The following is a 14,305-nucleotide window of genomic DNA, read 5'->3' on the forward strand; positions in this document are numbered from 1 at the left end:
AAACAAAGTGGATAAACAGGATCTAACAAAACTACATATGCAAATAATCTTTGACTCAGCAATCTACTTACAGGAATGTAATCTAAAGATATATCACACGATATAAAAACACATATTCATGAGGTTATTTATTACAACATTTTTTGGTAATTGTAAAATAATGAAAACTACCTATCTAAACATAAATGACTGAATAAATTAGGATATATACAATGTAATACTAGACAGCTATAAAAACAATTAAGAAAGAATTCTACAAACTGCAGGAAACAATTCCCTATTTAATAAATGGTGCTGGGAAAACTGGCTAGCCATATGTAGAAAGCTGAAACTGGATCCCTTCCTTACACCTTATACAAAATTAATCCAAGATGGATTAAAGACTTAAATGTTAGACCTAAAACCATAAAAACCCTAGAAGAAAATCTAGGCAATACCATTCAGGACACAGGCATGGGCAAGGACTTCATGACTAAAACACCAAAAGCAATGGCAACAAAAGCCAAAATTGACAAATGGGATCTAATTAAACTAAAGAGCTTCTGCACAGCAAAAAAACTACCATCAGAGTGAACAGGCAACCTACAGAATGGGAGAAAATTCTTGCAATCTACTCATCTGACAAAGGGCTAATATCCAGAATCAGCAACGAGCTCAAAACAAATTTGTAAGAAAAAAACAACCCCATCAAAAAATGGGTGAAGGATATGAACAGACATTTCTCGAAAGAAGACATTTATGCCGCCAAAAGACACATGAAAAAATGCTCATCATCACTGGCCATGAGAGAAACGCAAATCAAAACCACAATGAGATATCATCTCACACCAGTTAGAATGGTGATCATTAAAAAGTCAGGAAACAACAGGTGCTGGAGAGGATGTGGAGAAATAGGAACACTTTTACACTGTTGGTGGGACTGTAAACTAGTTCAACCATTGTGGAAGTCAGTGTGGTGATTCCTCAGGGATCTAGAAGTAGAAATACCATTTGACCCAGCAATCCCATTACTGGGTATATATCCAAAGGATTATAAATCATGCTGCTATAAAGACACATGCACACGTATGTTACTGCGGCACTATTCACAATAGCAAAGACTTGGAACCAACCCAAATGTCCAACAATGATAGACTGGATTAAGAAAATGTGGCACATATACACCATGGAATACTATGCAGCCATAAAAAATGATGAGTTCATGTTCTTTGTAGGGACATGGATGAAGCTGGAAACCATCATTCTCAGCAAACTATCACAAGGACAAAAAACCAAACACCGCATGTTCTCACTCATAGGTGGGAACTGAACAATGAGAACACATGGACACAGGAAGGGGAACATCACACACCGGGGCCTGTTGTGGGGTCGGGGGAGGGGGGAGGGATAGCATTAGGAGATATAACTAATGTTAAATGACAAGTTAATGGATGCAGCACACCAACATGGCACATGTATACATATGTAACTAACCTGCATGTTCTGCACACGTACCCTAAAACTTAAAGTATAATAATAATTAAAAAAAAATTCTACAAACTGATAGGCAATGATTTCTAAAGATATTTAAGTGAAAAAGGCAGTGTTAAAAGAGTATAATATGCTACCTTTTGTGTAAGAATAAAGGGAAAATAAAAAAGCATGTACACATCTATTAATACAAAAAGAAACAGAGGAAGGGTAAACAAAAAACCCCACAATGTCTATCTACCTGCAAGGGGTAGGGGAGAGAACAGTAGCAGGGATACAGGAGGGAGTGACACTTCTCTGAGTATACCTCTGTACACAGATCTGCCTTTAGGAAATCTGTTAAAGTTCTACATATTAAAACATAAAAAACTAAAGATGAAAACAAGCTGAAACAACTGAATCCATGTATGTTTAAAACAAGTAGTATAACTACACCTCACAGAGAATAAAACCCCTTCCATTAATTGATTAACACAGCATTTGACTACATATTCTCCACTTCTGGGGGAAGGGGAAAGTATAGCAAACCAATTCTGAAATTTTTTTTCTTGGTAGTTAAATGGTGAAGTGACTCTGAAACTATTTCAGATGTGGCATAGGATTAAGCAAACGAGTGAACGTATTGATGTTGGGAACTGGCAAATATGAAATGCTATAAGGCAAGGGAGATACTGTCAGATGAATCTCAACTGCAGGCATCATCAGTTGAACTCATGACTTCTATAACATGTATGAACACAAGCATGTATATGTGCATGTGTATATATACACATATAATATGTGTGTAGATATATGTATATATGTGTGTACATATATTCATATGTGCGCGTTTGTATGTATTTTCCCCCTAGTTTTGACAACAGAAAGGGCCTAAGAGCAAAGATGCCCTATCAGCAATGAGTACACCTAACACTCAGATCTTGGTGTTTAACACTGAAGCTCCTCACAGAAATGGCTGATTCCAAAGCTAAAGCAGGGAAGACAGACGATGAGCCCGAAACATCCTGCTATGTCAGAAAGTAAGAGGGTGTTTAGAAAAATAAACATGGCATGTCAAAATGACAAATAAGTTAGCTTGAAGAGCTTTCGTTGCCCAAAACTGAGACCATCTGAACACCAAAGTAATTGAGGACAGTAAAGAATTATAAGTCACTGAAAACAATAGGAATCCATACCAATGAGACATACATAAATAATGAATAAGGGATAAGGGGGAGCTCTTGTTTACTACAAAATACAAATGGTAACTGTAAAGGAAGTGGTAGTTAGAAAATAATTTTGAGGCTGGGTGCAGTGGCTCACGCCTGTAATATCAGCACTTTGGTAGGCTGGGGCAGGAGGATGGCTTGAGGTCAGAAGTTTGAGACCAGACTGGCAGCATAGTGAAACCCCATCTCTACAAAAAAATCGGGAAAAAAAATCAGCCACACATGATGGTGCATGCCTGTAGTCCCAGGTACTTGGGAGGCTGAGATGGGAGGATTGATTGAGCCCAGATGGTTGAGGCTGTAGTCAGTCATGATTGTGCCACTGCACACCAGCCTGGGTGACAGAGCAAGACCCTGTCTCAAAAAAAACAAAATAACAAACCAAAAAAACCCATTTTGTAACCAACGTAGAAAAGATGCGCATGGTGCAGAATCATCAAGGGATGCTAAATCTTGGGAGAAAGATGTGAAGAGAAGCAGGATATTTGCATGATCTTAAAATGTCTCCCTGCAGATTACTTATTAGTTATAAGGGAACGAAAAGAATAACTAGACAATGGTTACAGAAGAATAAGAACTTAGGAAAGACACACTGATGTATTTAGGGACAAAAAGGCCTGACATACGTAACTTGTTTGCAACTGGTTCAGGAAACATGCGCGCACGCGTGCGCGCACACACACATACATAAATAGATATTTATTGAAATAAGTTTATAATATAAGTATATATACATATATACACTTTAAAAAATAATTTATCTTGACATACGTCTATTCCACTGCAGAAGTGGATACTGTGTTTGGCATCTTTTCTTCTGACAACCAATACTGATTCCTAGACTATAAAAGAGCTCTGGCAGAAGGTCAGACTGGGCTATCGTACCCTATTCTTTTTACCATGGTGATTGGTCCAGGATGGACACATGACCCAGCCAGACTAATCTGGGAGTCCTTCCTTTAAAATATATATATATATGCAGGAGTGGGTAGGAAAATGAATCTTTCTTCCTAGGTCATGAAGTTGTTAAGCTGTAAGCCCACAGCTATGGGCAGCCATGATTCCAGCCTTGAGAGGAATGCATTTGCAAAGAATGGAGTGGCACCCAGACAGGCACAGGGGGTCACTGAAGACAAACTGCCTTGGTCTCAACTAAACTTCCTGGTTCTGATTCCTTAAGCCAGTGAACCTCATCATCATTTTTTTCTAACTTAAGCTAATTTGATTGGGTTTATGTTACTTGTAACCAAGAGAGTTCTGAATAATACAAAGGCCTAATACTCCCACCAATTAATGGCACAGGAGCTTGAATCAAAGCAATCTTATTTCTATAATCCTCTTTTTTATTAATAGCTTTCAGAGTTAGAACAAACTAACTTGCAAGGAAAAAAAGGAAGAAATAACATTTTTGAGAGTCAAAGTAACTATTTTTTATTAAAACTTGATTTTACAATCAAACATATCTCCACTTTAAAGAAAGTACCTACTATGCATTTATGACATGCAAGAAACTCCCAATCAGTTATATCATACATGTAGGACAACTATTAGTTATAACCATCAAAGCTTTTATCCTGTCTTCCACATGGCTTCATCAGCCAAGAAGATTTTGTGCATCTTTACTTTCTGTAGTTTGTCCTAGAAAAAACGTGTTTTTTGTTTTTTGTTTTTTTTTTTGCTTTCCAAATAGGAAATTTCATTATCATATGAAAGCACTAGGATTTCTCAAACTTTCTCTTCAAGCATATCTCCAGTTTCTAACCTCCAGGTTTCTTTGCTAGAACTGAGAGTTAGGAAGTGAGTGCTGAATCTGAGTACGAGGAAAGATATGGGTACATGTCACGACATCGTACTACTATGAATCTTTTATGGCTCTGTCCCCGTGGACTCCAGGTATTGAAAGCTCTTATCTACTAAGATGCATTAATTCAAAATGATTCATCTTCTCATTTTAAAATTAAAACCTTATAAAATATCCATCAGAGCCTTACGGAAAGAATGCGTTACTACTACAGCCACCGAAAATAGCTCATGATCCCAATGACTGCCTCCAAAGACATGTAGAGTCTCAGAAGTCCAGTCCAGGAACCACTACTCCACTCCAGCAACAATGCTTCAGAGAAGCTTCCAGCACTGACCTTCCTATAGGCTTTGATCTTCTTCCCAGGAGTACAATACTGAAAACATGGATATCACCTTGAAAAAGCTCATTTGCACACTTGATTCAGCTTTTCCATAATACCGGTATTAACTGAGTCTACATAGAAAACTGAGTTGGTATTGATTTTTTAAAGATACTAGTTAAAAGAAAAAATATAAAAAGACCCTAATTATTTTGGTACAGATATAATCTGCTGTAGATAAACTGTGAACTAAATCTGCCCTGTCAGTCCCTTTAACCGTATCATCAACACCTTCAAAATGGAGATTAGAGAGGTTTGTGATATTGTCCTAGTAAAAAGGAAACAAAAAGATTACTTCCTCTTAAGATGAAAAAGCAGAGTTTTACCAAGTAGTCCTATCAAAAGTAATAAAAGTAACTGAAAATAAAAATTCAGAAAGTATAGAAGAGTTTCAAATAAAAAGTATAACCCATCCTCAGTACACCAAATCCCCAGAGAGGATCACTTTTGACTGATGCCTCTCTAACCCCAAATACGCTCATGCTTCTAGTTCATTATTTATCAACATTAAGCAATGGCTACTGACATCCTGATAGGAAAGTTGATGAATTCAGATCTCATATACCTCCCCTGTTGCTGTCCCTACTCAGTATTTTCGTTGAACTCTCTTAGTGGAGGCAACCACACTTTAAATTTTCATTAATTCTTTGCTTTTCTGATTGCTCCTCTGTCATGACCCATTCTTGTGTTGCAGACAAAATAACCTCAATCTGAGGATGCTAATTTAAAATGTGTTCATTCTTTTCCTTGAATTATTTCTTCTGATGACAGTTGTTCTTTTCTTTCTTCCTTTTCCTGCTTTATGCTGCTCGTTTTCCTCTACGGTCTTGGGGTCTTCAGTAGACTGATTTCCTATTGAAAATCAACTAGGCTGGTAATACAGGTGCCTGGTGAGGCTCTCCTCTGCTGCCGAGTAAACTGCTTTCTCTACAAGCCTCGCCCCTGAATAGGAAGCCTGGCCTAGGACACCGTACACATGGCAAGACTTGTCAAGTGGCTGTCCCTCCCTCCACTTTTTAGGGTATGGGCAGGGAAGGGCAGAGAAGTTAGTGCCCTGTGCCCCCTTCCTGTGGGTGTCATTCCTTATATGGAGCCCTAGCCCCTTCCCCAGGGCAAACTGCCCAATATCCTTAGAGTAATTGCCTGAGTTCATCCTGGAGCTGACAAACCACACAGCCATTCTGCAGACAGTCCCTTAATCAGCCACCTCCGCTTCTGGCCTGCCTCCAATCCCTCCTCCAGAGCTGCCTGCTCCATTGCAAGGAGGAAACACCTCTATGTTTGCTGCAAACACAGCGCCTGCCTGAGCTCTGAGCTAGGACTCCCTCCACACCATTTATCCACCAGTATGATCCCACTGGACTTCTTTGTCCAGAAATTCAGTAATAGCTCTCATCTGTGAAATATTTCTTCCCCTCTGTTCTTCCTATCATTTCAGTAAGATTTGGATAAGAAGTGAAAATGAAAGCAGGCTGCGTGTACCATCTTAAAATCTGGAAGCCCCTAAAAAGAACATTTGTTTAAATGTCTTTTGGTCTTTTTGCTTTAAGCCTTTTCTCATCTATTAATTTCTTTAATAACTGGATCAATACTCATCTCTTCCAAGGGACTCCCCAGACCAGAAATGACATACTCTTTACCTTCTAAATCCTTTCAGCTACTCTGTATGCAGTTATATCAGGTTTTTCATTTGTTTATATTTTTGCCTGTGTCTTGAACACTTGTCAAGGTTGCTTCTTGTGAAAAGCACCTCAAATTCATAAAAGTACCTCAATGACTAGTCTCATAGATACTTCTGTGACACTTTGCTTCCTTTCCCTATAAAAAAACTCATAAAGCAAGACACAGAAGAGGCAATAAAAATATACTGGATAAATGAGTAGGCATTTATCAAGCATTATTATTTAGTAACTCTTTCCTTACAGATTTGGTAAAGGTCTACTATGCACCAGGCCACAGAGTAAGCACTTCTGATGCTCTTAAAAAAAAAAACAAAAACCCCAGAAATAAAGACTTAGTGCAAAGCTTCCAAGGTGGGTCTCTGACATTACCATTTAGATTTCTTCCCTGGTTAACATGAAGTCCAATGGGTTCCAAGCTCAGGGTCTCTACTGAGGACTCATACACACCGTTATGTCTTCTTTATTCTAATAAATGGTCACAATGTAAAAACAAGTCTCCCAACAGAAAGAACCCCACTAATGTAATCTCTTGAACCTGAAATTAGCCTCAATAAAGATCTCTCTAAACAGATAGCTGATTGACCTTCAAATAAATGAGAAAGAGCCACCAGCTCTTGTGAGGAGGAAAGGTAGTTGAGTTCTACTACTCTTCCTGCACCACACAGTTATCAGCTGACTCAGCGGCAATCAGGCAGCTCAAATGGTTATATAATCAGAAGGCCTGGGGTTTAACACTTCGCAGAAGCAATCATCACAGATGAAAGCGAAAAAAGGTAAAATGCTGGATTTGGGAGAAAAATCTGCTCTGGGCTGACAAACCAAACAAATGGGGATGAAAAACTGAAACTGGGGCTGATCACACCAACCACTTCTTTTCCTCTTTTTGCTTTTTCATTCCTAGCAGACGTTACATATAAAAACTTACACAGGCTCCACTTTTCCTGTGATCTTTCACCTGGGAAACATGTTTCTCAAAGGATAATCTAAGAATCAGCCACACTCTAATTACCTGGGAGAATTTTGAACTGCAAATTCCTGGGTTCCACCCCAGACCTAATCATTCTCTCTGGGGAATCCACTTTTCTAACAAGCTGTCCAGGTAGTTCCCTAGGCACAGCAAAGTCTGAGGACCAGAGATCCAGGTAGATAGACCTCCACTTGGGCCAGCACATTGACTAATTTCTTGACTTGCAAGAAAGAATATGAACCATTCTCATATGTGTGGAAATTCCAAAGCTCATCCTCTGCCCTCACCAACAACATGAACACCAAAACTCAAGACCCTAGCTTTTAAAAGCAACATTCAGGCTGGGCACCATGGCTCATGCCTGTAATCCCAGCACTTTAAGAGGCCAGGCAAGCAAATCACTTGAGGACAGGAGTTCAAGACCAGCCCGGCCAACATAGCAAAACCCCGTCTCTACTAAAAATACAAAAAATAAACTGGGTGTGGTGTCCCAGCTACTCGGGAGGCTGAAGCAGAACTGCTTGAACCCGGGAGGTGGAGATTGCAGTGAGCCGAGATCACACCACTGCACTCCAGCCTGGGCGACAGAGCGAGACCCTGTCTCAAAAAAAAAAAGAAGCAACCTTCAGCTCAGTCAAAATGCTTGGCTCCCTATGTGAGAAAGGGCAACCTAAAGAGCTGGCTACAGACCTACTCCTCAGATACTCACTCCCTGGATATAGAGTAAAAGAATCAGAAGGCTTCATACACAACTGAAATGGATCATCTTTCCTGCTCACTCGGCTGTGCCTTAATGCCACGAAGCTGACTTTTTACTAAAGGCTATTTCAGGAAGAAAAAAATGAAATTCACAGGCATTTAGAAGCATTAGATGCAAAAACTGTTGTTGAGCACAGATCTACTGCATAACAGTTCTTGCTATAATCTGAATTTGTCCCCCAAAATTCCTGTGTTGGAAACCTCATGTCCAATGCAGCAGTGTCGGGGGTTGGGGTCTAATAAGAGGAGATCAGGTCAGGTGGCTCTGGACTCATGAATGGATGAATATTGTTATCACAGGAGTGGATTCTCTTGAGAGTAGCCCTCTCTCGTTAACATTTCATCCTCTCTTGCTCCTCTCTCTGCCTTTGGCCACAGGATGAGGAGCTGCACACAGGTCCTCCCCAGATTCCAGTGCCATACTGTTGGACTTCCCAGTCTCCAGAATGGTAAGCCAAAGAAATTTCTGTTCATTATACATTATCCAGTCTGTGTATTCTGTTATAGCAACATAAAATGAACTATAACAGTTCCCTAATAAGAAATTTCTTTCTCAAATGGTAAAAACTTAGCTTCTCTGAGAAACTGGCATGTTGCTTTTCTAAGGCCAAAACATTATATTCAATATAATGAACAATTTTGGGAACAATATATTCCCAAAGCCCTTATTAACATTTCATGACCCTACATGACCTGACCCCTGCCTTTCTGATCCCCTCCTCCAGCTATACCAGCCATGTACAGCTATGTATGCATAGGTATGTGTATATGTTTGTATGTATACACATAAACGTACATCTGTGTATGTCTTCTTAGGCAAGTGGCTCCAATCCTCTCTGGAATAAGGCACTATAATTTTAAAAATAGTATAAACATATGAGTTATACCAAATGAAATTTTAATTTCAGAGTCAGGAAAATGACAGAGCCTAACTTGGCTTCCTGAAGGAGCTTTCTTTCTTGCTTAAGTTTTACACAATAAAGGAATGAACTAAACTCATACTCAAAAATAATTTAGAGAATTAAGCCAGGTTTGGTGATATATATCTGTAATCCCAGCTATTGGGGAGACCCCATCTCTAAAAAAAATAATAATAATAATTTGGAGGGAAAAGAATAAATACTAGTTTCAATTGAAACTTCTCCTATTTAAGAATTTTAGGCTTTTATCTCTTAAGCAATAAATGAATACTGATCACTATTAATATCATCCTTGAAAAGGAAAATTTGCTAGACTCTACCTATCACCTGTTTAGAACAGACATGTTCAATAATCTGCTTGTTGCCTCTCAAATGCAAACACAAACAAAGGAAAAAGTTGAAGACATTTTAGTCCTTGAAAGGATACCATGGAGTATGCAAACTGAAATTCTATAGAAGAGGGACCATTTCCTACAAATAAAAACCAACTTCTCTGACACTGAAATCTCCCCACGTCCATTTCTGATCTTCCTTAGCAAAACATAAAAGACACACGGCTATGGAGAGAAAAGTCGGTTTTACAGTCAGGTGAACCTGGAGTCAAATCCCAACAATGGTGCTCACTAGTTTTGTGCCTTGGACAAGTTACTTAACTTTTTGAACTTTCATTCAATTATAAAATGGATATATTACCTACTGTTATATAACAATAGGAGTTATAAGATACCTTATACAGGTCTTATTTTCAAGGAGAAGAGCTCTATCCATTTATTCTTGGTATATATACATATACATATCTTAACTTTTGTTGAGGAAAACAAGTCACACATACCTGAAAACCACAATTAATGACGGGAAAAGTAGCCTGTTTTAGAGGCAAACATACAAGACTGGGAATCAGGCCTGAGATTATAACACACATCTGTGAATGACCTTAGACAAGTCACTTCTCTGTGGGTCTCCGTTTCCCTGGCTGCAATACAACAGGGCTATGGAAGTTCAGAGGGGACACACAGGTACACTGGTTTGGGGAAACTCTGATATATATCTGAACTCTGATATATATCTGAACTGAGACTTGCACTCAGACCTGAAGAATGGAAAGGACTTGGGATACTGAGAGAAGGGTAAGAGCTGGGGAAATACCAAGAGCAATCCAAAGGAGAAGTGGGTCAAGGACCTTTAAGAACTAATGAGATTAATCGAGTTGGCCAGGTATAGCGCCAGAGATGGAAAGAGAGGGAGATGTCAGACCCCAGAGGGTCTGAATAACAGAGGAAGGAGTCTGGATTTTGTCCTGGAGGCAACAGGAGCAATCAGGGGACAACAGGAGCAATCAGGGGGCAACAGGAACAATCAGAAGATTCTAAGCGGTTATAAATTGTTGAGGGAATCCTATTTCCCTGCCTCCATGTTTTCATGAGGAAAAGCATATTTTATTCCCAAGGACTGAAAAATACTGGAAATATATTTTCCACCCTTCTTCAAACTTATCTCACTTCCCCGACTGGGGAAATACCCAAATAGCAAGACTGGAAGAAGGAATGGAGCACACATGGCCCAGCACCACCACCTCTGCTTCCGAGTGCCTGCAGTGCTGGCAGATAAACTCAAGTGAGAGAGTAACAGCAAGTCTGATGGTGGCCACAAGCTAACAAATGTTTTTCAATCCAGTTTACCAATAACCGAGCTGATAAACGAATGCCCATTTCTATTGACTATTTCTCAACTGATTTAGAATTGAAAAGGGAGAAAAGGCGATCTGATTTACCACCACCACCACCACTGTTGCCAACATAAATAAAGGGGCCAACAGCAGGGCTTCAGAAAGACTAGCCAGGTGGCAGCTGGCAAGATGGACTGAGGGAGGAAAAGGCCAGAAGCCCGTAAATCAGTTGCGGAGCTAATCCAAGCATTAAGTGAGTCATTTATAACCATCAAGTATTACCAGGGTCTAATCGATACCTGCTCAAATCAAAACACGTACTTGAGCCAATCTGCAAGAGTAAATCAACGAGAACAAAAAACTAAGGCTTAATTACTAACATATGCATATATACATATGTGTGTGTATATATATACATGTATTTTTAAATCAATTAACATGCTTCATATGTAAAATTGCTTCTGCCTACCAGTAGGATCACTAATTAAAGGAACCAAAACAATTTTACAAAGATATAAAAGAGAAGCAATCAAAGGCTAACCAGTCCAGAACCCTGGAGTACATAGAAGAATTCTATTATGTTACAGATCAATGTAATATAACTCTAAAATAAAGAGAAAGCTCATGTAACTTGTCCACATTTTTAAAGAGATGATCACTTCTGTCAGCCTCCTCTAATAGGGTGTCTCTTGGACTTCTAAACCTCAAAAGGTTCTGCTGTCTTCTAAGTTAGCAGCCTTTGAAAACACTGCCAAGCACTTCTCCAACTCACTTATATTTCATACAGCCTAATTAGATCAAATCAAGTTGCGTTAATATTGCTACATTTATATAACAAAGACTGTACATTTTCACTAGACAGAATCCTGATTTTGCCTATACATTTGGCATCCAACACTTTGTTAAATGCCTCCTTATTCCCCCAAAATGGAATTTATGACAATGTTTGCATACTCATCACTTTGTTTCAGACCTCATACAATGTAAACATGAATTCCTTAAAAAAGGAGGAGTTGATAAAATTGTAAACATCAGAAACCAGTGGCTAAGTGGGCTCAGACACCTATGGCTTTCTAATGTCTTCTAGATACAAACCAAGACTTCTTATTAGGGCTATAAAACTCTCCTCTAATCACCCTAAATTCTCAAACACAATCTTTATGCCTTATTATTCTCTGTAATAATAATAAAAAAAAGTTGCCACACTAGCTCATGTCTGATCCTCCTTCTTTATATATGCTATTATCCCAAAGTACCACTTCAGTTCCTCCAAAGTAATCTGGAAATGAAAATTATTTGCAGAGGCTGAACAGTCACTCTGCTACTCCATCCACACACTGGAGACTAGAGTATGCTCACTAGGTTCACTAAGAAACAAATCCTGTTAAGGTTTTAGTTAGGCAGAATCCTGAGTTTTGTCTACCTCTCTCTTGGCCGTCTGTAAGGTATTTTATGGGCATTTTCTGTAACCTACATTCCTGAGATCCCACCCAAGTTTCTGTGGTAGATGAAAGATGAAATTCCCTGCCAGACAGAAGGGAGTGAACATTATGAGGCAAAATTTTAATTTGGATTAAGAAACTATCCATCTGGTCCCAACAAGCTGTCCTTCTGAAAAAGAACTGAACCATATAGTAAACTCCACGTTGCAACACACACCACTTAAAATGCATTCTTAAAATTACCTCCTTCATGCCTGACCAACACAGGTGTGATGGCCTCATTACTTTATGTTTTGTTAGTATCCACATCAGTCTGTGTTTTTTTATGAGTGCTCTTGGTCTAAAATAATAGATACATAGATAAATATAATTAACCTTCCCTTGCACTTAGATTTTAGACATGTAAATTCCTTAAGATAGGAGTCATGTATTTGGTGTTTCCTCAAAATTCTAAATATAAAGTTCTCCACAAGGAATTTAGAAACAAAATGAGAAATATAATATTTGCATATGATGACAGATACGGAATTCCCTGCACAAGGAATGCATTTGCTGTCTTGATAGGGTCTATACAGTGAATCTGTACCTATGCACTCTGGTCTCTCTGTAAGTCATTATGGTCTCCTCTGGTCTCATTTACTCAGCATTTCCTAAGCACTTGTCAATGTGTCAAGCACTGTGCTAGACAATGAACTAGATAAACAGATCAGGAATGGTCCTGCACTCAGAGCTTGGAACCTAGGGGAACCTAGTCAGTCCTCATCTATCTGGAAATCTGTGCATACTGACGGCTCTCTCAGGCTTCCTGCACCACTGATTCCCGTGACTGTGCATCCTCCTCATAGCAGCTCCTCTGCCACTCTACACGACTGCTGTTCCAAAAATCACTGCCCCCTGTATCACACCTGGGATGTCACTTCCCTTACACCCTGTGCATGTTAACATTTTAATTCTTTTTAGTCCAAAAGGAATGGCAAGAAACTGCATGGTCAGTATTAATTAAGGTTATCTTTCTCTCATTAGGAGGTAAGAAAAGTGGTTCATTTTTGGCTGAAAGCTAATATAGACACAAAGAACATATAAACATGGGATATAGGGGGTACATCTACACAGCTAGCAACTAAATAATGCTAAGTACTAAGACCAAAAAGAATGGTTGGGGTCTGAAGGGGGTGGGGAATTCTTGGGAGTATCCTAAAAACACAAATGTCGTTTTTGAAATACCACGACTTTAGAAATGCAATGAGAAAACAGCAACCTCCAAGGACAGCCCCTTGCATTAGCACCAAGGGGTTACCCCTGCTCCCCATCCTATACAGGTGAGATGTGAAGCTTAGGCCCACAGGAGTGCAGCAGGGTTATGCCTAGGGGCTTGGGCTAATGCCAAAGGCAAATCGTTCTGCACTGGCATAGGCAAGTGCTCAGAGAAGGGAGAAAGGAACGTACCTGGCCTTCCTGGACTTCGTCCTGGCTGCAGAGTCAGTGCAGCTCCTCTTCTCTTTGGCCTCCTTGGTGCCCGAGGCCTCCCGGGGCTTCCGTGCCTTCTTTGCCCCATCTTTTTGCTTCGGCTCCTTGTGCTCCTTGGCCTTCTTCGGCTCCTTGGCCTTTCTGGGTTCCTTTGGCTCTTTCGGTTCTCGTTTCCTCTTTGGCTTGGGCTCTCTGTCCTTGCTTCCCTTTGCTGCACCCTCTTGGTCTCCTGGCTCCTTTTTCTTCCGTTTCTTCTTCACTCCAGTACCTCCTCCTCCACTGTCCTCCATCCCATTATGGGATGTCATTTTCCTAGGAAAAAGGGTAGCAGCTTCCTCTTCAGCAGTATACAGGTCCTTCTGAGGCAGACAGTGACTAGCAACATCTTCAATTTTCTCTTCTTGATCAGTGCTGCAGTCAAATGGGGATGGAGATTTGTAGTCAAAATTGACAGAGGCATCAGACATTGGGGAGTGATTCAAAACTTTTAAATTTGACAACTGTAAAAGAAAGAGAAACAAGCATATTACCCTTCCAATTC

The 14,305-nt window shown here is 39.7% G+C and overlaps 1 protein-coding gene across 14 annotated transcripts in view; it reads right to left on the minus strand.

Moving 5' to 3' along the window:
* The window catches only part of CHD6 (chromodomain helicase DNA binding protein 6), a 216,295-nt gene that overhangs the window by 117,224 nt on the left and 84,766 nt on the right, over positions 1–14,305 (minus strand). For all 14 annotated transcript variants that reach the window (NM_032221.5, XM_047440549.1, XM_047440545.1 and 11 more), the window contains one exon: positions 13,744–14,264. In NM_032221.5, coding sequence (NP_115597.3) covers positions 13,744–14,264 — 521 coding nt within the window. The remainder of the gene's footprint in view (positions 1–13,743; positions 14,265–14,305) is intronic.

The sequence above is a fragment of the Homo sapiens genome, chromosome 20 (assembly GCF_000001405.40).
Source record: "Homo sapiens chromosome 20, GRCh38.p14 Primary Assembly".
NCBI lineage: Eukaryota > Metazoa > Chordata > Mammalia > Primates > Hominidae > Homo > Homo sapiens.